The sequence below is a fragment of the Homo sapiens genome, chromosome 13 (genome assembly GCF_000001405.40).
Source record: "Homo sapiens chromosome 13, GRCh38.p14 Primary Assembly".
NCBI lineage: Eukaryota > Metazoa > Chordata > Mammalia > Primates > Hominidae > Homo > Homo sapiens.
The window spans coordinates 100,217,506-100,240,218 of NC_000013.11; the positions used below are offsets into that span (position 1 = coordinate 100,217,506).

Genomic DNA, 22,713 nt, shown 5'->3' on the forward strand with positions numbered 1-22,713 from the left:
TAGACTTAACATTGGACTCAACCAAGCAAAATATAGTATCCATGTTATAGCATGTATCAGTTTTTGTGTGTGTGTGTGTGTGGCTGAGTGATATTCAGTTGTATGAATATGCTTCTTAAAAAAATCCACCTGAGGTCAGGAGTTCAAGACCAGCCTGGCCAACATGGTGAAACCCTGTCTCTACTAAAAATACAAAAAAATTAGTTGGGCGTGGTGGCAGGCACCTGTAATGTCAGCTACTTGGGAGGCTGAGGCAGGAGAATCGCTAGAACCCTGGGGGCGGAGGTTTTTTGTGTGTGTGTGGCTGAGTGATATTCAATTGTATGAATATACCACTTAAAAAAATCCATCTGAGGTCAGGAGTTCAAGACCAGCCTGGCCAGCATGGTGAAATCCCGACTCTACTAAAAATAGAAAAAAATAAGCTGGGCGTGGTGGCAGGCCCTGTAATGTCAGCTACTCGGGAGGCTGAGGCAGGAGAATCACTAGAACCCTGGGGGAGGAGGTTGCAGTGAGCTGAGATGGCACCACTGCACTCCAGCCTGGGCAACAGAGTAAGACTCTGTCTAAAAAAAAAAAAAAATCCATTCATTAGTTGAAAGACATTTGGGTTACATTTTGACCATTGCAATTAGTATTGCTACAAATATTTGTATGCAAGTATTTGCTTATATATTTGTTTGTTTTGAGATGGTATTTCACTCTTGTTGCCCAGGCTGGAGTGCAGTGGCGTGATCTTGACTCACTGCAACCTCTGCTGAGTTCAAGTGATTCTCCTGCCTCAGTCTCCCAAGTAGCTGGGATTACAGGCACCCACCACCATGTCTGGCTATGGGTTGTTTTTTTTTTTTTTTGTATTTAGCAGAGACGGGTTTTCACCATGTTAGACTGGTCTTGAACTCCTGACCTCAGGTTATCCACCCGCCTTGGCCTCCCAAAGTGCTGGGATTACAGGCGCGTGCCACTGCGCCCAGCCATATGTCTGTTTTTTAAGTTATTTGGGGTATGTACCCAAGAGTGGAATTCCTGGGTCATGTGGTAATTCTTTGTTCAGCTTTTTGAGGAACTGTCAGGCATCCAAACCTTTATGTACTCCCTTCCTCTTGTATAATCCACTCCTCTTCAATTTGGGTAGAACCTGTGAATTGCTTCTCTAACTAATAGAATATGGCAAAGGTGATGTGATATTACTCCCTTAATTAGGTTGCATTATATGGCAAAAGTGATGGGATGTCACTGCATTCAATTACATTATGTGGCAAAGTGGTTGGGTGTCACTCTTGTGATTATGTTTCATTATATAGTACTTGATCTTAACAGACTAGAGAACAAGATTCTTTTTGCTGGCTTGATAAAGTAAGCAGCCATATTAAGGAAGCCTACTTGGCAGTGAATGGTGGGCAGATTCTAAGGATCTATGTAAGGACAGTCTCTACCCAAGAGCTAGCAAAAGGCTGGGGTCCTTCATCATGCAGCTACAAGGACATAATTCTGCCAACTACCTGAAAGAGCTTGGCAGCAAATTTCTCCCCATTTGAGTCTCCAGTGACAATGCAGCCTGGTTCACTCCCTGATTGCAGCCTTGCAAACCCCTGAGCAGTGTATGATGAAATTATTATTATTATTTCCTTATGAGGTCTTGTCCTCTTTACCTTTTTGTTTTAGACATTTGTGTGAATTTGGGTAGGGGTTTGGATGTGTCATTATGAACCTTGATCTACTCAGCCTGAATATTTCTACCAGTATAATTATATATTTTTTTGATGAGGAATGTTGCCTTTTTGATATCTTCAATTTGGACTTGATTTATTCCCAAGAATACTGATGTGTCACTGTCCAAATTATTTCTGGCTTGATGATGAATGGTGGAGTCCTCAAGGGTTCAAGGAAGAGACCATCAGGAGAGTGTTTGATCTGGAAATTCTGTTTACACGGGAGATTTTTCCTTATGAAATTAGTGAATGTAGTGTCTCCTAGGAAGGGAATGTTTCTTGGCTAAAGGTCCAAAGGTGACCGTTGTGTGCTGGGACATGGGAAATGTGACGGGTATTATCCATATCTGTCAACTGAGTAGTTTGTTGATTCCGAGGGAGAGCTTGTGGAACAATGGCAGGAATTAAGGTAAATATACTGCCACCCATATCAATAAAATTTTTACTTGTTTCTCCGCTAATAATTAGTGAAAATTCGTCTTGTGAGTTGAAGAGTAAAAGGAGAAATGGGTACTTGATTTGCTGTTAGAACATTTGCCTACTATCATTTTTTCCCAATTCTCTTGAATAAAACAGAACAATTATTTTTCCATTGTAATTTCTTCTTACAATCTCTGCAGGTTTCTTTATCAAAAGACTGGTGTTTAATTTTTGGAGTGGGAGCATCTAGTTTTATCTTCAAGGGTATCATCTTATTCTGGGTCTTATACTGCCTTTGTTTTCAGGCTCTTTTGAAATGTGTAATATGGAGTTACATTGTTTGACAATGTGGTGCCTTCCCAGCCAGTTTTTGCTTGTTTATAACATTTTCTTTTTCTGGCTTAAGGCTGTTCACAAGAAGTGAGGAAGGAGCTGGGGTCACAACTACTTGAGGGCTTACTCCTGAATGCTAACTGAAGGTAGTAAGAGCCCACCCTGGAAGTCTGCAAGGGGCTTATCCTTCGTCTGCTAGAACAACTGAATTAGAGTTACCTGTTTTCACAGGAAAGATTTTGGTAATAGCCTTCAAAAGACCGTGTCCAATATTTACAGTTTCTTTTTTTTGTTTTTGTTTTTTTTGAGACAAGAGTCTCTTTCTGTCACCCAGGCTGGAGTGCAGTGGCGCAATCTTGGCTAACTGCAACCTCCACCTCCCGGGTTGAAGCAGTTCTCCTGCCTCAGCCTCCCAAGTAGCTGGGACCACATGTCTGAGCCACCATGCCTGACTAATTTTTTTTTTTTTTTTTTTGGTATTTCTAGTAGAGACTGGGTTTCACCATGTTGGCCGGGTCTTGAACTCCTTACTTCAAGTGATCCACCTGCCTCGGCCTCCCAAAGTGTTGGGATTACAGGCATGTGCCACCGCGCCCCGTCATTCACAGTTTTTCTAAACCCCACTGGCTTTCTGTGCATTTGGGGTCTGAAGTCACTCTCAGGATATTTGTTTCCCCTTTCTAATAGGTCTTCCTATTTCCCTCTCCTTGCTCCCCACTTTGTAACTATCCTTGGTGAAATGATGCCATTTATAAAGAGAAGACCATGAATTTGCATTACATATTTAATGCATTTAAAGAAACAGAAGTCTGACTCTGAGAGACCACAGACTTAGTCTGAGCCAAACTCATGGGAGTCTCCTAATGGCATATTGAATATGTTGTTTGTGCACCTCCTGTCTTGGGCTCACAGCCTAATGGTTGGCCATCTCTAACTGCAAACCTGACAGTGCCTTGTTGGTTTAAGATTTGGAGAGACTGTCTCTCCTAGGCCCAGACTTCCATGGACAAAGCAAGTCAAGACAGAGGAAAATACTCAAGGTTCCCAGGTAAATTGTGTTCTATTTGGATGATGATCTGATGAAACCTTCTGAACTCACTGGCTTCTAGAGTCAGCATGAAAATGGGCTTATGAAACCTATGCCTGTCTTCTTTCAGGTGAACTTTGACTTATGGACTTAGAATAAAAAATGTTGAGGACAGTATATTAGTAATATGGGAGGTTTCTTCCAATATTAAACATTTTCAAATGTGATAAGAAATTCAGTGGGTCTTTATTCCTACAGTTGTTGAAAAGGAAATTGGACCTCTACCCAGTGTGACTCATCTCACCATTGTGGTTGGGGAGACCCCTGAGGGGGTCGCTCAGTGGGCCTCAGAGAAGCATGCAGATGCCAGATCTAAGATCTTGAACTGTGGCTTTTAGTGGGCTTCGAACATGTGTCTGTGGGTAATACACTTGGTTTTGCTTGTTCAACAGGTTATTTTGGTTATCTTCTTAGGAGGCTGCATCTGAATTTGCAGCCTCTGTTCTAGTAAATTTGGAAAATATGGAAAGGTAGACAGGAGAAAAGAAATCTCATCTTTTCAGTTTTTTTCCTTGTATGCATTAGATGATTTGTAACATCCTATTACACTCTCAAATGATTGATTCTCATTATCTGCACTAACGACTATTTCTGAATTTGTGACGCCACAGCTGAACCTGCAGGTTATAGTTTCCAGATAAGCATTTACAAATAATTTTTAAGGAATGTCCTTTTGTTTCCCTGGGAAATTTTTTTTTTTTTTTTTTTTTGAGACGGAGTCTCACCCTGGAGTGCAGTGGTGCGATCTCAGCTCACTGCAACCTCTGCATCCCGGGTTCAAGCAATTCTCCTGCCTCAGCCTCCCGAGTAATTGGGATTACAGACATGAACCACCATGTCCAGCTAATTTTGCATTTTTAGTAGAGACAGGGTTTCGCCATATTGGCCAGGCTGGTCTCAAACTCCTGACCTCAAGTGATCCACCTGCCTTGGCTCCCCAAAGTGCTAGGATTATAGGTGTCCAGGTGTGAGCCACTGCGCCTGGTGGAAATAATTTTTTTTGAGACAGAGTCTCACTCTGTTGCCCAGACTGGAGTACAGTGGCACAATCTGGACTCACTCCATCCCCGCCCCCTGGGTTCAAGCGATTCTCCTGCCTCAGCCTCCGGAGTAGCTGGGATTACAGATATGCGCCACCATGCCTGGCTAATTTTTGTATTTTTAGTAATTAGTAATTTTTTAGTAATTTTTGTATTTTTAGTAGAGATGAGGTTTCACCATGTTGGCCAGGCTGGTTTTGAACTCCTGAGCTTGGGTGATCCGCCCTCCTCAGCCTCCCAAAGTGTTGGGATTAGAGGTGTGAGCCACCGTGCCTGACTGGAAATAATTTTTAATACTAGTTTTATTTTTAGTTTGTTTTTATTTCTGATACAAGAGGCTGTACATATTTTTCTTTTAAATTTGGCTATTAATTTAGGTTTCTGGTATAGTGACTCCACATTCACTTGGAGCTACACCATTCACATTTACTAGTTTAGATATATTGAGTATAAGATTACTTTTGAGAGTATCTATGCAGATAGAAGTTTGCTGATGGAAATAAATAGTACCGAATTTTGGAATATCTTGGGTTTTTAGCAACAGTTTTTCATTGGCAGAGTGCATATGCCAATTACAGGTAATTCTGTCTTTTAAAAAATGTTTAGTGTTCTTTAAAATTAGTCTACAGTGTTTTTAAGACTAAAGTCTTTTCCTTGATAACTATATTCTATTTTTTTTCCCCAAGTAGTTTCCACCAGTTATGATACAATTTTAGTTTGTTACATTTCTCCTTCAAACATTTGTTCCTTTCTTATTTGAATATGTAGGATGTTACATGGAGACAGTTTACCCATACCCCTTTAAAGCATTGTGTGCAGTACTTCAGTGGTCTTCTGCAACTCTTCTTTTTAATGGCTTATTAATCTGTCCTTGAATCATCCTTTTCCTTAGAGAGAAACTAATGTTTTAAAATGTAATTATCAAGTAATCGTTTGGTATCAAGTATTTGCCTTTAACAAATTTAATTTTATTCAACATTTCATTACCTTGATCTCAGGAACTGGAGAGCAGAGTGAAAGGCATGCACATTAAGATATTGGAGACAGGAATTGGGATCACAGCTTTTTTTTTTTTAAATCAATGAATAACATGCCACAGATCCTGCTTTCAAAGAGCTTAAAGCCTTCTGTGTCCGGAATTGGTGGGTTCTTGGTCTCACTGACTTCAAGAATGAAGCCGCGGACCCTCGCGGTGAGTGTTACAGCTCTTAAGGTGGCGCGTCTGGAGTTTGTTCCTTCTGATGTTGGGATGTGTTCGGAGTTTCTTCCTTCTGGTGGGTTCGTGGTCTTGCTGGCTCAGGAGTGAAGCTGCAGACCTTTGCAGTGAGCATTACAGCTCTTAAGGTGGCACGTCTGGAGTTGTTCGTTCCTCCCGGTGGGCTTGTGGTCTCGCTGGCTTCAGCAGTGAAGCTCCAGACCTTCGCGGTGAGCGTTATAGCTCATAAAGGCAGAGTGGACCCAAAGAGTGAGCAGCAGCAAGATTTATTGCAAAGAACTAAAGAACAAAGCTTCCACAGTGTGGAAGGGGACCCGAGCGTGTTGCCACTGCTGGCTCGGGCAGCCTGCTTTTATTCTCTTATCCGGCCCCACCCACATCCTGCTGATTGGTAGAGCCTGGTGGTCTGTTTTGACAGGGCACTGATTGGTGCGTTTATAATCCCTGAGCTAGACACAAAGGTTCTCCACATCCCCACCAGATTAGCTAGATACAGAGTGTCAACACAAAGGTTCTCCAAGTCCCCACCAGAGTAGCTAGATACAGAGTGTCGATTGGTGCATTCACAAACCCTGAGCTAGACACAGGGTGCTGATTGGTGTATTTACAATCCCTGAGCTAGACATAAAGGTTCTCCATGTCCTCACCAGACTCAGGAGCCCAGCTGGCTTCACCCAGTGGATCCCGCACCGGGGCTGCAGGTGGAGCTGCCTGCCAGTCCCGCGCCGTGCGCCCGCACTCCTCAGCCCTTGGGTGGTCGATGGGACTGGGCACCGTGGAGCAGGGGGCGGCGCACATCAGGGAGGCTCTGGCCCCACAGGAGCCCAGGGAGGGGGTGGGAGGCTCAGGCATGGCGGGCTGCAGGTCCCGAGCCCTGCCCGGCGGGAAGGCAGCTAAGGCTGGGCGAGAAATCGAGCGCAGTGCTGGTGGGCTGGCACTGCTGGGTAACCCAGTACACCCTCTGCAGCTGCTGGCCAGGGTGCTAAGTCCCTCATTGCCCGGGGCCGGCAGGGCCAGCCGGCTGCTCCGAGTGCGGGGCCTGCCAAGCCCACGCCCACCCGGAACTCCAGCTGGCCCGCAAGCGCAGCTAGCAGCCCTGGTTCCCGCTGGCGCCTCTCCCTCCACACCTCCGTGGAAGCTGAGGGAGCTGGCTCTGGCCTTGGCCAGCCCAGAAAGGGGCTCCCACAGTGCAGGGGTGGGCTGATCAGGTCCCTCAAGTGCTGCCAAAGTGGGAGCGCCAAGAGCGAGCGAGGGCTGTGAGGACTGCCAGCACGCTGTCACCTCTCACTTCTTCAGGAGGACTGCAAGTATTCAGGCAATTGACTACATTTTGATAATGCTAAGCTCAAGGCGCAGGGGCCTATGCATATAGGATGGGCATGTAACCTAGTTTTAGGTATCATTGCAGATTTTCCAATGGAAATGATAGCTAAGTGAAACCTCAAGTCTGAGTGGTAGTGAGTTAGCTGAAAAGTGAGATTGATGATGGACACAGCTCTAATGTCAGTGAAAACATCTTATTGCAAAAGCCTGGAGGTGAGAGACAGTGAGAACTCTGGAAAACTGCAGATTTGTAGTATGAGGGGCTGCAGTTAGAAAGGGAGCTAGAGAGAAAATTAGGATCCAGATATGTATGGGCTGGAATGTGATGTAACTTATTTTGAAGGCTATTCTTGTGGTTTGGGGAGCCTCTGAATAATTTCATGCAGAAGAGTTAACATGACAGAATTGTGGCATTAGAAAACTCATTTTGGTTTGTTGTGTGGAAAGTAAATTGGAGCATGGCAAAACTTGAAGTTGGTAGACAAATTAGGATCCTCTTCTAATCCAGGATAGAAACGGTAGACCCCTAAAATAAAGTATTGTATGCAACAAAGTAGATGGTGTTGAGAAAGATAGTGGAAGTGGAATCCATGGGATTATGTGATCTGTTCAATGTCAGGTGTGAAGTGGAGGGAAGGATCATTGATGATTATTTTACTGCATTTGGTTGTAATACCTATTAACACACCAGTTTCAGAAGAAATTTATTTAATGTCCTTTAGTTCTAATTGTTCGTTAAGAGGAAATAGTAATACCCGTTTACACCACAGAACAGAGTATGGCCGTGTATTTGAATGAGTTTTGTAAATTAGGCAGTGTAGATTTAAAGTAGTAATTGTTTTTATCACCTAATTGGCCAGACTTTAAAAACTGTACTCTTGCTTTAGCAGAAGGAGGCAAATAACTAAGAAAGCTAGTGTGAAGGAAATCATTTAAAAAAGACCCTAAAAACAAAAACCAAAAAATTGGAGACAAGCTGTGTCTCAGCAATTAGAAAGTATAACATTAAACATTAGTGTATTTGTCCCTGCTAAACCAAGAATAATCAGTTTTCCTGATGAAGCCTCAAAGGTTTTATATTTTGGAAAAAAAGACTCAATTATTTTTACTATGCTGTTTTTACAATGATAGAAAAGTGTACTAAATTTTAGAAAGCTTTTTTTTTTCTTTGAGACGAAGAGTGTCGCTCAGTCACCCAGGCTGGAGTGCAGTGGCGCGATCTTGGCTCACTGAAAAGCACCACCTTCCGGTTTCAAGTGATTCTTGTGCCTCAGCCTCTCAAGTAGCTGAGTTTACAGGTGTGGGCTGCCACACCTGGCTAACTTTTGTGTTTTTAGTAGAGATAGGGTTTTGCCATGTTGCCCAGGCTTGTCTGGAACTCCTGGTCTCAAGTGATCCACCTTCACGACCTCCCAAAGTGCTGGAATTGCAGGCATGAGCCACTGTGCCCGGCCGAAAGATTTGGAAGTATATTAAAACAGAAAGAATCTTCTGCCTGACTTTGAGTTAACTGGATTATGTGGAAGCTAGAAAGCCATTCCTGAGCCCAGGATTGTTTAAAAGTTTCTGCTTTACTTTATATATGAATGCAGAATAGTTTGAGGACAGCTTTTAGGGTACAGATATAACTCTTACCTGTAGTGTCTTGAAACAAATTATTATTTTTTTTTAATAAACAGTCACTGATTCCCTTCTAGAACCAGCTGTAAACTCCTAAGTGGCTTTCATATGAATGGGTAGCAGGATTCTCATCCACAGAATAGAAAATTAAGGATTGGTAAGTAGGCAGTAGCAAGTGAGAAGGATGTCTGAATCATGAATGGTGGTCGGCGTTGACACTAATACCACTATCAAAATGTATGGGTGTTTAGCATCTGGGAAGAATGATTCGAATGTGCCTGTCTTTGTTGTAGTGTTTTCTGCGCTTCCTTGTGTTTTGCCCTGTTCACCAGCAATACCGAGTTCGTAGATCGTCTGATCCAGTGCATTATAAGAGAGGAAGTACATGTTTTTTCCAGTATTGTAGCGCCAGGGTTAGTTCTATGTTATCTAGGTTCAGAAGATGAGTAATGACACAGGATATAACAAGTAAGGCCAGGCAGGGAAGGTACCAACATGGTAGTTTGGGGTGGCGGGCTGCCCATTTTCTCATAATTACTAACCTTAATTGAGTACCTACTGTGGGCCAGGTGCTGTTCTAATGTGTTTCAGCCTTGACTAATTTCATCTTCTTAATAACCCTATGAGATAGATACTGTTATTATGTCCATTTTACAGATGAGGAAACCGAATACCAGAGAGGCACTCTAGTAACTCAGTCACAGTCACAGAAGCAGTATTGGAGCCCAAGCCTTCTGGCATAGCGCCTGTGTTCTTTTTTTCTTTGAGACGAAGTCTTGCTCTGTCGCCCATACTGGAGTGCAGTGGCACTATCTTGGCTCACTGCAACCTCCGCCTCCTGAGTAGCTGGGATTGCAGGCATGCGCCACCACGCCCGGCTAATTTTTTTGTTTTTTTTTTGGTAGAGACGGGGTTTCACCATATTGGCCAGGCTGGTCTTGAATTCCTGACCTCAGGTGATCCGCCTGCCTCTGCCTCCCAAAGTGCTGGGATTACAGGCAGGAGCCGTTGTGCCCAGCCCACACCTGAGCTCTTAACTGCAAGGCTTGGTTACCCCACAGGCCATGTTCTAGGTATTAACAAATAAATGACATTTGCAGAAAAGGCACCAGATTTTTGTTAACTCTTTTCACGTTTTTTCTGGTTAGTTTTTACTACCATTTAGTTAGTTTTTGTAGCATCATCCACCACTCCCATCATATTCACAGTTAAATAGTACTTTTTACTGTTACTATTCTTGGGTTGGGTGATAGAGCCCACTTAATGTGAGTTGTTTTGTAATAGAGGAATAAGAGGAATAAAAGAAATGGGTACTGGTTTGCTTGGTTTCTTTCCCTTTTCTCCGTTTCTTAAGCTACTCTTTTGGCATTGTATTCTTAGTACTTTCCTGTAACTCTTTCCCCATCGGTGCTCAAAAGAGTTAAATAGCTTCAGAACCTGAGTGTGCCTTCCCTCAGGACAAGCTGGGATTACAGAAAGAATGGACCACCAGGTAGTTTATCACTTAGAAGAATAGAATAAAATGATATCATTGGACTCTTTTTTCCCTACCTCCTGATTGGAAACCATCAGGAATACCATCATCTGAGCATTGTTGCTGACACATTTTTAATTTTTTTGTGTACTTTTTGTTTTCTCAATTGTATTACTTGTGATATGAAAATAAAACTATTCTAAAGACTTCAAATGAAAAATTTTTAAGGGAAAATGAATAGCATCAAATTTGTTTTAACAATTCTGCTGAAATTTTTATATTTGACTTTTTCTTTTTTTTTTCCAGACAGGGTCTTGCTCTTTCACCCAGGCTGGAGTGCAGTGGTGCCATCTCGGCTCACTGCAACTTCTGCCTCCCGGGTTCAATCAATTCCCCTGCCTCAGCCCCCGGAGTAGCTGGGATTAAAGGCGCATGCCACCACGCCCAGCTGATTTTTGTATTTTTAGTAAATATGGGATTTCACCATGTCGGCCAGGCTGGTCTCGAACTCCTGACCTCAGATGATCCGCCTGCCTCAGCCTCCCAGAGTGCTGGGATTACAGGCGTGAGCCACCATGCCTGGCATATTTGACTTTTCTTCCACTTTGGGGAGGATTATTATGTAATGTGTCAGAAATTTTCTTTTAATAAATTATAGGATATTATTGAACATTATGTTAACAGAGTTTATTGTTCTAAGCCCTTTCATATTTTCATGTATTGTGTGTCATGTAATCATAGATGTGAGAGCTGTCTTAAGAATATTTTAAAGAGTGTTAAGAATAATCAGCTCCACTTTTTCTTCAAATATTGCCAAGCTGTATTTGTGAAGAGATAATGTTGTTTTGTTTAAAATATATTTATTTTATATAAATAAAGAACAAAGGCTGGGCGCGGTGGCTCACTCCTGTAATCCTAGCACTTTGGGAGGCTGAGGTGGGAGGATCACTTGAGGTCAGGAGTTCGAAACCAGCCTGCCAAGATGGTGAAACCCCATCTCTACTAAAAATACAAAAAAAATTAGTCATACGTGGTGGTGTGTGCCTATAATCCCAGCTACTTGGGAGGCTGAGGCAGGAGAATCGTTTGAACCTGGGAGGTGGAGGTTGCAATGAGCGGGGATCGCTCCATTGCACTCCAGCCTGGGTAACACAGTGAGACTCTTTCTCAAAAAAAAAAAAAAAAAAGCACAAAGTATATTTAGTAAAATAAAGTTTAACCTTTTACATTTTTATGAAATAAAGTTTGATATCTATACATTGAAATGAGCTGCTTTCTTTTGTTTTGTATTATAACTTAAACTTGTGGCTTTTCAATTTGAAAACTTATTGCCATGTAGAATTTGATTTTTTTTTTTTCCTAATGCAACACTTTACTTAAAAATTATGGAGTAGAACTATATTTTTTAGAAGAGCAGGTTTTACAAAACCTAAAATTCAAACTCTGGAAGTTGCATGATGTGGTGGAAGAAGTGCTGGACTGAGAATCCCAAAAATATTGGGCTTGGTTTTGCCCAATGCCAACAGTATTTCACTGAGTGCACCTTGTTTTAAACTGAAGCAAAACTGAAGTGTAAAAAGTAAAGTAGAGGTTCCTCTTCAAAGACTTTCCTCCCCATCTAATTAGGAATAAATAGTAACTTCTCTTAGAAGCAAAATTTATTCTAAGACCTGTGCTAACATTCTTAAATATCTGCTAGCTGTAATAAAGAAATCAATGTACTTTATGTTCTCAGCTCCCACAATTTAGCCTAAATATTTGCCCTGGCATGCTTATACTGGTCCAAGCAAGCATTAAGTCATAGCCTGTTCCTCTTCCTTATTTGAAGGTGTTTTTACCTTTCTCAGTATTCCACAAGTTACTTCCTCCTTCCTTTGTTCTCCTCTGCCGTTGCCTCTTTTAAAAAGTTCTATGTTGTTAGCCAATTGGGACAAATACAAAATGTGAGGTCCTGTTCCAGCCAATGGAAACCGGACACAGCAGTAGGGTGGGCGCCTCAGGTTATAAATGACCCTGTCTCCTTTGTTCAATGTACTCTCGTGGCAAAACTGCTGGCGAATGTACCCTTTCTGCAGAAAGTAAACATGGCCTTGCTGAGGAAATTAAATTTATGTTCCAGTGCTGTTTCTTTACGGCACTGGGGAACAAGCATTTCTAACAGAAGCCTGTCTGGTTCTGAGTCCCTGCCCTGAACCCCTGCCTTTGGATGTCAGTTAACTCACTTATAAAACCGCTGCTCTGGAGATGAATAGTTCTGTTGGCATTTGTGAGATTGTGTCTTATCCTAACAGACTAATTTTTATGGAAGCTGATGCGGATAGTTGTTTATTCATGGAAGAAATAATGTGTTGATTGCGTTAATTTGCTAAACTCTGGGGATTTAGTAGAGAGTAAGACAGCTAGTTGTTGCCCTCATGAAGGTTAAGTGTGAAAAGGGCTGCATAATTGCAGGGCGTGGTGTATGTGTTCATGTGGCAATGATACCTAGCCAGGTGTGGGAGGACTGGAAAGGCACTCTAAAGAAAGTGGCAGGCTGGGCGCGGTGGCTCATGCCTGTAATCCCAGCACTTTGGGAAGCCGAGGTGGGCGGATCACCTGAGGTCAGGAGTTAGAGATCAGCCTGGCCAAAAATGGTGAAACCCTGTCTCTACTTAGAATACAAAAATTAGCCGGGTGTGGTGGTGTTTGCCTGTAGTCCCAGCTACTCAGGAGGCTAAGGCAAGAGAACTACTTGAACCCAGGAGGCAAAGGTTGCAGTGAGCCGAGGTCGTGCCACTGCACTCCAGCCTGAGTGACAGACTCCCATCTCAAAAAAAAAAAAAAAGAAAGAACGTGGCATTAGCTGAAACTGGAAGCATGCCACCCTGGACTCTGGGAGGAAATGGTCATTTTCCTGTCACCCAGACTACTGCCTCCCAGCCTGACTCTTCAGATCCCTCTTGCCTCTCAAAGTGTTCATTTGTTTGTTCATTCATTCATTTATTCTTCCAACAACTGTTGGTTGAATAACAACTGTGCCAGGCGTGTGCTCGGGATTTGAAATACCTAACTTGAACCAGCTGGACAAGGGTTTCTGTCCTTATGGAGCTTACATTTTAATGGGCTAGGGAGGTGCAGAGGGTGGACAGTGCACATCATAAGTAAGCAGATGCTATGCCAGAATTCTCCAGCCTGCAACCAGAGCTAGCCCTTCATTTCCTTGCTCTGAGGCTACAGTTCAGTTTCTCTCATGTGGCTGTGAGGCCCAGCCTTCCCCTCGCCTCTCTCTTCAGGTCCCAGACACTGTTTTTCACTACGCTTCTATTTCTAAGGTGTCTTTTCAGTTACCACGCCTGAGAAAGTTTTCAGGAATCTATTTTTGGATTAGAGATCCCCTGTTGTCACATGCCCTCTTTAAAACTTGTACATAACATGCACCACATAATCATTCCTTAGCTGCTGTGTGGCTGTATTTAAGGTTTGTCTTTTCCACCAGCCTGTAAATTACCTGTTGGCCAAGATGATGTCTTTCTTGTTCCGTCCCGTGTCTTCAGGGCCCAGAATTGGGCCTATTGTAATAAAAGCTGGTTTGGTAAAAGGGGAGAGAGTTACTGGCTGAGGCTGGCTGAACTGAGAAGGCTGTGCAAGGCTGGGGAGCCTGCCTGGGCCTTGGGCTGCAGGGTAAGATGCAAGATGAACAGGGGTGGGGCTGAGACTCATGCTTAGGCGGACAGGATCAAGTATTGAAACCAGCCTAGGGAGTTCAAACTTGGTTTTGAGGCAATGGGATGTCATGAAAAGCTTAAGTGATTTTGGGGACTCCTAGTTTGTTTTGATAACATTTAATATTCTCAAAATCATTAATAATTTGATAACTTCAGGCATGGCTGATTTAATTTTTAAACTATGAAAATATGAAGTATGAAATTATGATTCTTATGGTAAAAAAGTTCAACGTGTACCTAAGAGCATACAATTTTAATTTCCCTTTTCCTACAACTTTTAATCCTACCTTTTACATTTATTTATTTATTTATTCTTAAATATAGACAAGGTCTTGCGATGTTGCTTAAGTCAGTACAGAACTCCTGGGCTCAAGTGGTCTTCCTGCCTGGGCCTCCTGAGTAGCTGGGATTATAGGCCTGAGTTACCATGCCCGGCTGTCTGTCCTACTTTTGAGCAGTAAATTGGTTTCTGTAGCTGTCTAATGCTTAAACTTTCCTGTGCGTTCAAATGTGTATTTCTGTCTTAATGTAGGTAAGGTCATACGCTATGTACTCCAACTTGCTACCCCCGCCCCCAGTATATACTTTATTTTGCTTATTTTTACAGTGTAAGAGTTACTCTCTTAAAGCTTAATTGTCATTTGTCATTGCCTTGTATAGAACCAAGGCATCTTGGACTGTGTACCAAATCCCATAAGATCTGGCCAGAACAGGGCCACGCCGTCCATACCTCCTTATCTTGTGCTTTGCTGCCACTTCCTTACTGTGTTTCAGCTTTAGCTGCCTGATATTCTTTCCCTATGAAATTGCTTCCTCATCTAGGATTTTTATATGTGTGGTTCCCTCTGTCTAATGTTCTTTCTCCCTGATCTTTCCATGGTAGCTAGCTGTTTATGTTTATGTGTGTGTGTGTATGCGTGTGTGTGTGTGTGTGTGTGTGTGTGTGTGTGTGTGTGTGGTTTTAGAGACGGAGTCTCACTTTATTTCCCAGGCAGGAGTGCAGTGGCGCCATCATGGCTCACTGCAGCTCTGACCTCCTGGGCTCATGCAATCCTCCTGCCTCAGCCTCCCAAGTAGCTGGGACTACAGGTCCCACCACCACACCCAGTAATTTTTGTATTTTTTTGTAGAGATAGAGATCTTGCCATGTTGCCCAGGCTAGTCTCAAACTCCTACCCTCAAGTGATCCTCCCATCTTGGCCTCCCAAAGTGCTGGGATTACAGGTGTGAGCCACTGTGCTTGGCCTGGCTAGATGTCTTTATCCTTAGGTTTAAAATTTTACTCCAGAAGGGCCCTTTCTGAGCAGCCTGTCTGAAACAAGTTCTCCCTAGTATTCTTGCCTGAGTACTCTGTTTCTATGTAACATTTATTTTAGTTATCAATTGATTTGTTTATTTTCTGTTTCTCTCATTAGTTTGTAATAAGCTCCATGAAGGCAGAAGATGTATTTCATGTAGTGTTGCTGGGCAGATAGTTATTGAATTAATGTATAAGTGGTTGAATAAGAACATATAGATCAACTGCATTCTTTTTAAAGGCTAATATTTCATTTTATGGATGTACCAGTCCTTTGTTGAAGGCTTACTAAATTGTTTTTCAGAATTTTTTTCTTATTAAAACACCACCAACGAATTCAAAATAATGAATTTCTTTGTATGTCTCTCTGTGTTCACTCATGTGGGTATATCTGTAGGATGACTTCCCAGGAGTAAAATTTCAGAACAAAAGATAACGTGTCCTCAAACTTTTGGTAGATACTGACAATTTCTTTTTAAAAAGATTATCCCATTTTCTATGACACCAGTAATATGAGAAGTATTTAACTTTGTCATCCTGGCCATTATCAGATTTTAATTTGCTAGAGGAAAAGTGAGATCTCATTGTTTTAATTTGTATTTCTGTAATTAGGAGCAAGGCTGAGCACAGATATTGTGCTTCTGGAACTGTTTTTCTGTGAGCTTTTAATTTAATCTTTTGTGATGATTGTTGGTCCTTTTTTTAGTTGATTCAGAGTTTGATTAAAGTTTTTTAAACTTATGATGTTATAGGCAACCTTTACAGTGTGATGTCACTTAGTGCCATTGAATTTGGAGCTATATAGGGCTTTTTATCTCTTCAAAAGTAATTTTGTAGAGCCTGATAATAAAACTTCATGTTCTCAAAGACCATATTGGGGCTGAGTGTATAATATTTAGTAGTTTATTATTGAAACAGTAATAGAGATTTTAATGTCCAGTGCATAATAGGTCCTCAGTAAAGTATTTTTGGATGAATGAGTGACAAGTGAAAAGTTAATTTTTAAGGCAGCTTGATTTTATTTGAAAGTTCATTTAGAAGAATCTAATTTTCATAGTAAGAAGACTTAGCATGCTGTTAAGTTGAAAGATAAGCTTGCTTTGTGGCATGCTATAGAAGTGTTGGATTTGTGGCAGTGGAATTTTTAATTTGCTGTGTCAGATATAGATATGGCTTTATGTATCCATACACACCCAGCTATAACATGTATATTCAAATAAGTGACAAAATATGTCTAATGAATTTTTGAATTACCTTTTAAAACTTGCCTGTTAGTTCTCTCAAGTGATGAACTTTTTACAATAGCAGTTTATTTTCTCTCATCACGTTGGAAAGAAATGTTAAAAGTTTTCTTCTAGGTTTATTATAATCCAGTCTTCATCAGCCATCACTCTTCCTGTATTTTGTTCAAGAGGCACTAATTGTTCGCATTTGGCAGGTTTAACACTTCCTGACAGAGAGGCTATTAAGGGGAAGTATTCTCCAATAACTGTCACTGGCTGGAACAAAGAACCTTCCAACTCAATGTGTGGAAACCACTAACATTCTTAAATGACCCTTTTCATGGATTTTCATCCCTTTAAGCTAAAGTTTGGAGAATGTAGGGTCAGCGAAAACAGCAACGTGTAATAAAGCAGTAAACCTTGATTTTGGAAGGCATAGGGTGGGAGATATAGATTTATCTCTGACTTGAAAACAATTGTTATTTGGAAAATCTCATTAGCAGATGTGACTGCTTGGAGTAAAAAAAAAAAAAAACAACTTAAAACTGATGTCGCTTTCAGGACCCCTTTGAACTTAACAAGCACCTATTTGTGGAGCAGACTGGCTAATGAAAGGAAATTAAATTTTTCTGACAACTTCCCCTGCCAACCTCCTTATTCAGGGGATGTTATTAGGTACTGAAGAACTTTAAAGAAGATTTTTTTTTATTAGACATAAGTGAACCAGTTATAAACATCCCCCCCCGCCCCCTTCTCGGAGGATTCTGACATGGTTGCTCTACATTTTAAACGTATTAGCTTAAAAGCTTAAAAAACACTGGGCTTCACTTCAGCATTTTAGTCATTTTCTAAAAATTCAGTCACACTTACCAGCTGTGGTTTCAAAACAATATTGTCAGTCTTTGTGGTAGTTTAGTTTGTGTCACTGAATTACACAAACACACACACACACACACACACCCCACACATACCCACACACACGAAGGAGGCTTAGATTTCAACATTATCTTTATTGTTATTTGGGGAAATGATTCAGCAGTGTCCTGTGTTGGATGTGTTAGGTGAGGGTTAATGATCAGTGAAATTACTTAGATTCAAGGGAAGTTTTTGTCTTTTCATCTTCTTAGAGGTAGAAGTGGCATTGGTTAATATTTAGCAATAACTAATCCTTAAATGGATAAACTTTTACCCCTTACTGTTTAGGAAGGTATTTTCTTTCTTTTGCTTTTTGGAGTTTTTTCCTCCAGTAGTTGGTTCGTTGAAATTAAAGTTTTTTTTTAATTTATGTAACAAGATACAATTGTAGAGATAAAATATGTACCTGAAAAAAAAAAAAAAGAAAGAAACAATAGAAAAGAAAAGGTAATGCAGATTACCAAAAGGATTTTTTGGAACAATTCGTAATTCCTGTAGGTACTGGAAATTAACTTTCATATTTCTGCAAAATCGATCAACTACTCCCAAACAATAGAGAATCAACTCCCCCTGCTGACAGAATCTAGGAAAACATGACACATAATATTGGACAGAAACAAGCTGGCTGCGGACAAGCTTTAATGACCTGATTTATGATTCAGTATTGATTGTAAACATCTAAATTCTGCCATTAAATTCCGGCAACTGCACCAAATCATTGGCAATTCTGGTAGTGCTTCCTGCCAGCTCATTTCAACTGCTTTGAGTTTCTTAATATAATAATGATGAGGTAGAATTTACATTCCACTTATGGTATTAATTTTACATTTCTCTGAATGAAAAGGGTTAGAAGGTAGTAAAATTGAACATTAAATGAATCGGAGGAGACAGTAGTGCAATATATGACTGCCCTAAAGACATTGTGCAATGCCTCATGGGATTAATGTTGAGTCTCATTTCCTGCTTTTACAGGATGCAGAAGAAGCTGTCAGAATTGCAAGGGAAATTGGTAAGTCCTTAAATTAACTTTGGTAGGATTTCTGTGTCTTTCAGCAGATACGGTTGAGTCAACAGGTAATAAGTAATTCCCATAGAGCAAATAATACTTTAATAGTTTTAGATTTTGATTACTTGTTGCTCTGGAAGAATGTATCAGTTGAATTGCCAAATTCTATTATTAAAGGAGACTGTAAAGAGTAATTTGACCTTAACTATACATAACTCTTTTGTAAGATGAGATCACAGGCTAATTCAAAGAAGGAATTGTCTTAAGAATTCTAAAGATTGGATATAAGTTTAATGTCAATTTATATGTACATAGTTGAATGTGGTTTGTTAAAATTAAGAACATTTGGATTAAAATGAAGATACCATATGTGACATAGTTCTTTAAGTTTTTGCCTTTTGCTAAGATGTTAGGTATCAACTTAATCTTGTTAGATGGGAAAGATAAAATAGATGTGGGAAATTAGAACTGAATGATCTAAATTGGAATAAAAGGTAGACTGGAGGAGTTTTTAATGGCTGTTTTACATGTACTTGTATTTGGGCAGTGTTTCCCAACTTTTTAATTTCTTTTCTTTTTCTTTTCTTTCCTTTTTTTTTTTTAAGATGGAGTTTTGCTGTCATTGCCCAGGCTGGAGTGCAATGGCACGATCTCCGCTCACTGCAACCTCTGCCTTCCAGGTTCAAGCGATTCTCCTGCCTCAGCCTCCCTAGTAGCTGGGATTACAGGTGCCTGCCATCACGCCCAGCTAATTTTTTGTATTTTTAGTAGAGATGGAGTTTCACTATGTTGGCCAGGCTGGTCTCGAACTCCTGACCTCAGGTGATCCACCCGCCTCAGCCTCCCAAAGTGCTGGGATTACAGGCGTGAGCCACCGCCCCTGGCTCGCAACTTTTTAATTTTAAAAATATTCTTGGCGGTCATGAGAACTATTTTTGGTATCTGCTAATTGAGAAAATGTGTAAGGGCATGCTATTATATGGATTAACAATATTGTTAAATAACTTTGCAGGTTTAATAATCAAATCAGTAATTGTATACATTTGACAGAAATTTGTACAGATGAGAGAAATTAGGCAATGCTTGTAGGGATCCCAGCGTCTTCTCAGCATTCCTGTACGCCTCAGTCCAAGCATCTCATCGTGCCACACGAACATTTCTGTAGGCCTGTTTTCTCACTAAGATTATTTAGATCTATTTTCTGCCTCTAGAGAGCATTTGATTTGGCAAAGCTCATATAGTTGTGATATGTAGAAATATCTTATTGGTCTGGAAGTGATCACTTGTACTAGTAAGCGTGTTCTTTGCAAATGGGACAGTCTAACTTAGCAGGTCTTTAGTGACCTGAAAAGCAGTTTGGCTTATTGCACCCTTGTTTGTAGTTGGTACTGTCTAAATTATTTGGGCTTTGCCCATCATTAAGTGTGTTTTGTTGTTTGCTTTGCAAAAATCTATCTTATTGATATAGGTCCTGGATTTAAGACCAGACCATAGAAAATCTTATTTTATCTGACTACCTCATCTCTTCATTTTTTTTTTCAGAATCATTAACATTTCAAAAAGCCTATCAGTACTTCATAGGAACATTTGCTCGACTGCTAAATAAACTGGACTATATAGAACTGATTCTGTGGTTTCTTTATGGAGAAAAATCAAAAGTTTCTGTTCATGGTTTGAAATCACTGGTATTCCTCATTGCCTAAGAGGCATATAATATACCTACTGGCTTTTGAGGATAGTTTTCTAAAATAGTTTAATTCCATCCTGTCAGACATCTTTACATTTAAAAAGCTCTTTTTCTAGTTCTAGGTTAGATATTATTATCAACCTCATTGGATATAATAATACTGTTATTATTATTATTACAGTATCTACATAAAGGACAATATTTAGAGAAATTTAGGGAAATAAAGGGATTAGAAGAAAATTTACAGTTACACTGCAGTGCCACATTTTGAATGGTGAATTTTGGACTTGCGAGCATTCCCTTTGTGTAAATAGCAGGCCGTGGATTGCTTTGCTTCCTTTATGCCTTTTCTTCCACTTTCTTTCTTTCTTTCTTTCTTTTTTTTTTTTTTTGAGACAGACTTTTCACTCTTGTTGCCCAGGTTGGAGTGCAGTGGTGCGATCTCTGCTCACTGCAACTTCTGCCTCCCGGGTTCAGGTGATTCTCCTGCCTTCACCTCCTGAGTAGCTGGGATTGCAGGCACACACCACAATGCCAGCTAATTTTTTTGTATTTTTAGTAGAGACGGGGTTTCACCATACTGGCCAGGCTGGTCTCGAACTCCTGACCTTAGGTGATCTGCCCACCTCAGCCTCCCAAAGTGCCGGGATTACAGGCATAAGCCAGTGCACCTGGCCATTTTCCACTTTCGTTATAACCTGTCACCTTTAAGATAACCAGCTCATCATGATGGGCCTCTGTCTAACTAGTTCTCATCACTTTGCTTTCCTCCCTCAATATTTTAATGCTGTGCTTTACCTCCTTTTCATTTTTTATTTTTTCCTACTGAAGTTACCTAATCTAATCTAAGTCTTTTTTCTTTGTACTTGGGCACATCCTTTATGACTCCTTTCTCTTTCCTGTCCTTCTTCTAATTCTTCCCCAATTACTCTCTCTTGCTTGTGAAATAAATGATAGCAATCATGGCTATTAAGTATAAGAGTACTGGTGTTTTGCTTATACTGAAAGAAAGGGAAACCATAAAATTTGAGGTAAAATAAACCATAAAGAACTAGGGTCATCAGCTCTTACAAAGCTTTTAGAATTTCTCTGAAAATCTCTTCTGAATCACCTCAGAAGCCTCGCATAAAATCTTTTCCTTGAAGTGCTACTTTCTAAAGTAAATTAAATTATGTTTTATTAAAGTCTGTTGGCTTTCTGTGTTGTTTGATATTTCGTAAGTTTTTTACTACTGATTTTATTGAGATATATCACATTTTAACTATGATTATGATTCCATGTGAAAATGTGTTCCTAGTTCTAAACAACTGATTTATAATCAAACCTTTGAACCTATCCATTTGTAAGTTGTTGATTGTCCATGTGTTATACCTATTCATAGAGTTCTCTCTTAATTCTTTCTGTGTTATGTGATGAAAATGAAGTTTATCCTGTTTTATGTGATTTCCTCCTCTCTCATGTCTTTGCTTTTCTTCTGGAAACATTAATCTATGCTGCCAAAGTAGGAAACTCACTGTATTGAGCATTGATGAATTAAGTGCCTTTTACATAATGGTAACTCCAGTTTATGGAGCATTTCTTCCTAAGGCCAGGCACTTTGGAAATGTTGTTTCTAATGCTAATTCTTGGGTTTAATCATTTTTGTTTACATTTAAGGAAACTAATGATTAGAAATGGTAAGTAATTTGCTCAAGGTCACAGAACTATCGAGTGGTGGACCCTGGTTTAAATTTAGGTTTATTTGACTCCAAAGACCACAGACTTTTTATTATACTGTGTCTAAACCAATGGGATTAGAGGATGGCAGCTAAAATTTGAGCGACTACTTTGTGTAAAATACTGTAAGGTACTCAAATGTGTTATACATGGAATTAAAGAAGCAGACAGTCTCCTATCCTTGATGAGGTGAGAGACAGTTAAGACTTAATATGTTACTTGTATGTATTTGTTTTTTGGACTACCTAGTTTCTCTCATTCTTGTTCCTGATTTTTTACTTTGACCTATCTAAGTTGAGAGATACAGAGCTATTGATCCTCAGTTTGTCTTTAACCTCAATGATAGACAACAGTAATCAGTGAGCTTGATTTCCATTGAAGTTTGATCTTTTTACTGGGCCAAAGGTCCTTAATACAATCAAGTCAAAATTGATTCTTGAAAGGAAAATAAATTGTGAATCTAAAACCTGTCCTTTAACAACTTCCAGATTATTCAGATTCTTTTCCTTTGCTTGTCTTTCTCACAATCACAAATCATGCCCAATTTAAATAAAAACTTTTTTTTTTGATCCTCAGGTCTACCATACTACAAACCTACTTCTCCCAGAATTTCCAAATCTCAATAAATGTCACCCCTTTCAGTCAGGCCAAAACTGAGTCTCTCCTGGATGCCTCTTTTCCTCATCATCCTGTTGTAAATACATCAATAGGCATTGTCAGTTCATCTTATATACACTGTCTTCATTACTACCACTCTCCTCCAAACTACTTTTGTCTTTTGCAGGGACTGTGGCAATAGTTTCTTTACTTCATTTCTTAAACATTTCACATAGCTGACAGTGAGATATTTAAAATCTTTAAAGAACAAGGATATATTTCATCTCATCCCAGCCCATTTCTGCTTTAAATTCTGTAATGACTCCATTGAACTTAGATAAAA

General features: G+C 40.3%; 1 protein-coding gene across 36 annotated transcripts in view, besides 2 other annotated features; it reads left to right on the plus strand.

The window, feature by feature from the left end:
• The window catches only part of PCCA (propionyl-CoA carboxylase subunit alpha), a 441,343-nt gene that overhangs the window by 128,413 nt on the left and 290,217 nt on the right, over positions 1–22,713 (plus strand). For 35 of the 36 annotated variants that reach the window (NR_148030.2, NR_148027.2, NR_148028.2 and 32 more), the window contains one exon: positions 18,337–18,373. Coding sequence is in view for 25 of the 36 variants with exons in the window: in XM_017020609.2 (XP_016876098.1) it covers positions 18,337–18,373 (37 nt within the window). In the remaining 11 variants the exon portion in view is untranslated. Of the gene's footprint in view, positions 1–18,336; positions 18,374–22,713 lie in introns of those variants that run through there. The other variant, XM_047430378.1, reaches the window with a different exon arrangement.
• Positions 5,425–5,936: an enhancer, noted in NCBI's record as "H3K27ac hESC enhancer chr13:100875184-100875695 (GRCh37/hg19 assembly coordinates)". NCBI's record gives its function as "activates a minimal SCP1, AML or CMV promoter by ChIP-STARR-seq in primed H9 embryonic stem cells {active_cell/tissue: H9 hESC(primed)}" and the evidence as "EXISTENCE:reporter gene assay evidence [ECO:0000049][PMID:30033119]".
• Positions 5,937–6,447: an enhancer, noted in NCBI's record as "H3K27ac-H3K4me1 hESC enhancer chr13:100875696-100876206 (GRCh37/hg19 assembly coordinates)". NCBI's record gives its function as "activates a minimal SCP1, AML or CMV promoter by ChIP-STARR-seq in primed H9 embryonic stem cells {active_cell/tissue: H9 hESC(primed)}" and the evidence as "EXISTENCE:reporter gene assay evidence [ECO:0000049][PMID:30033119]".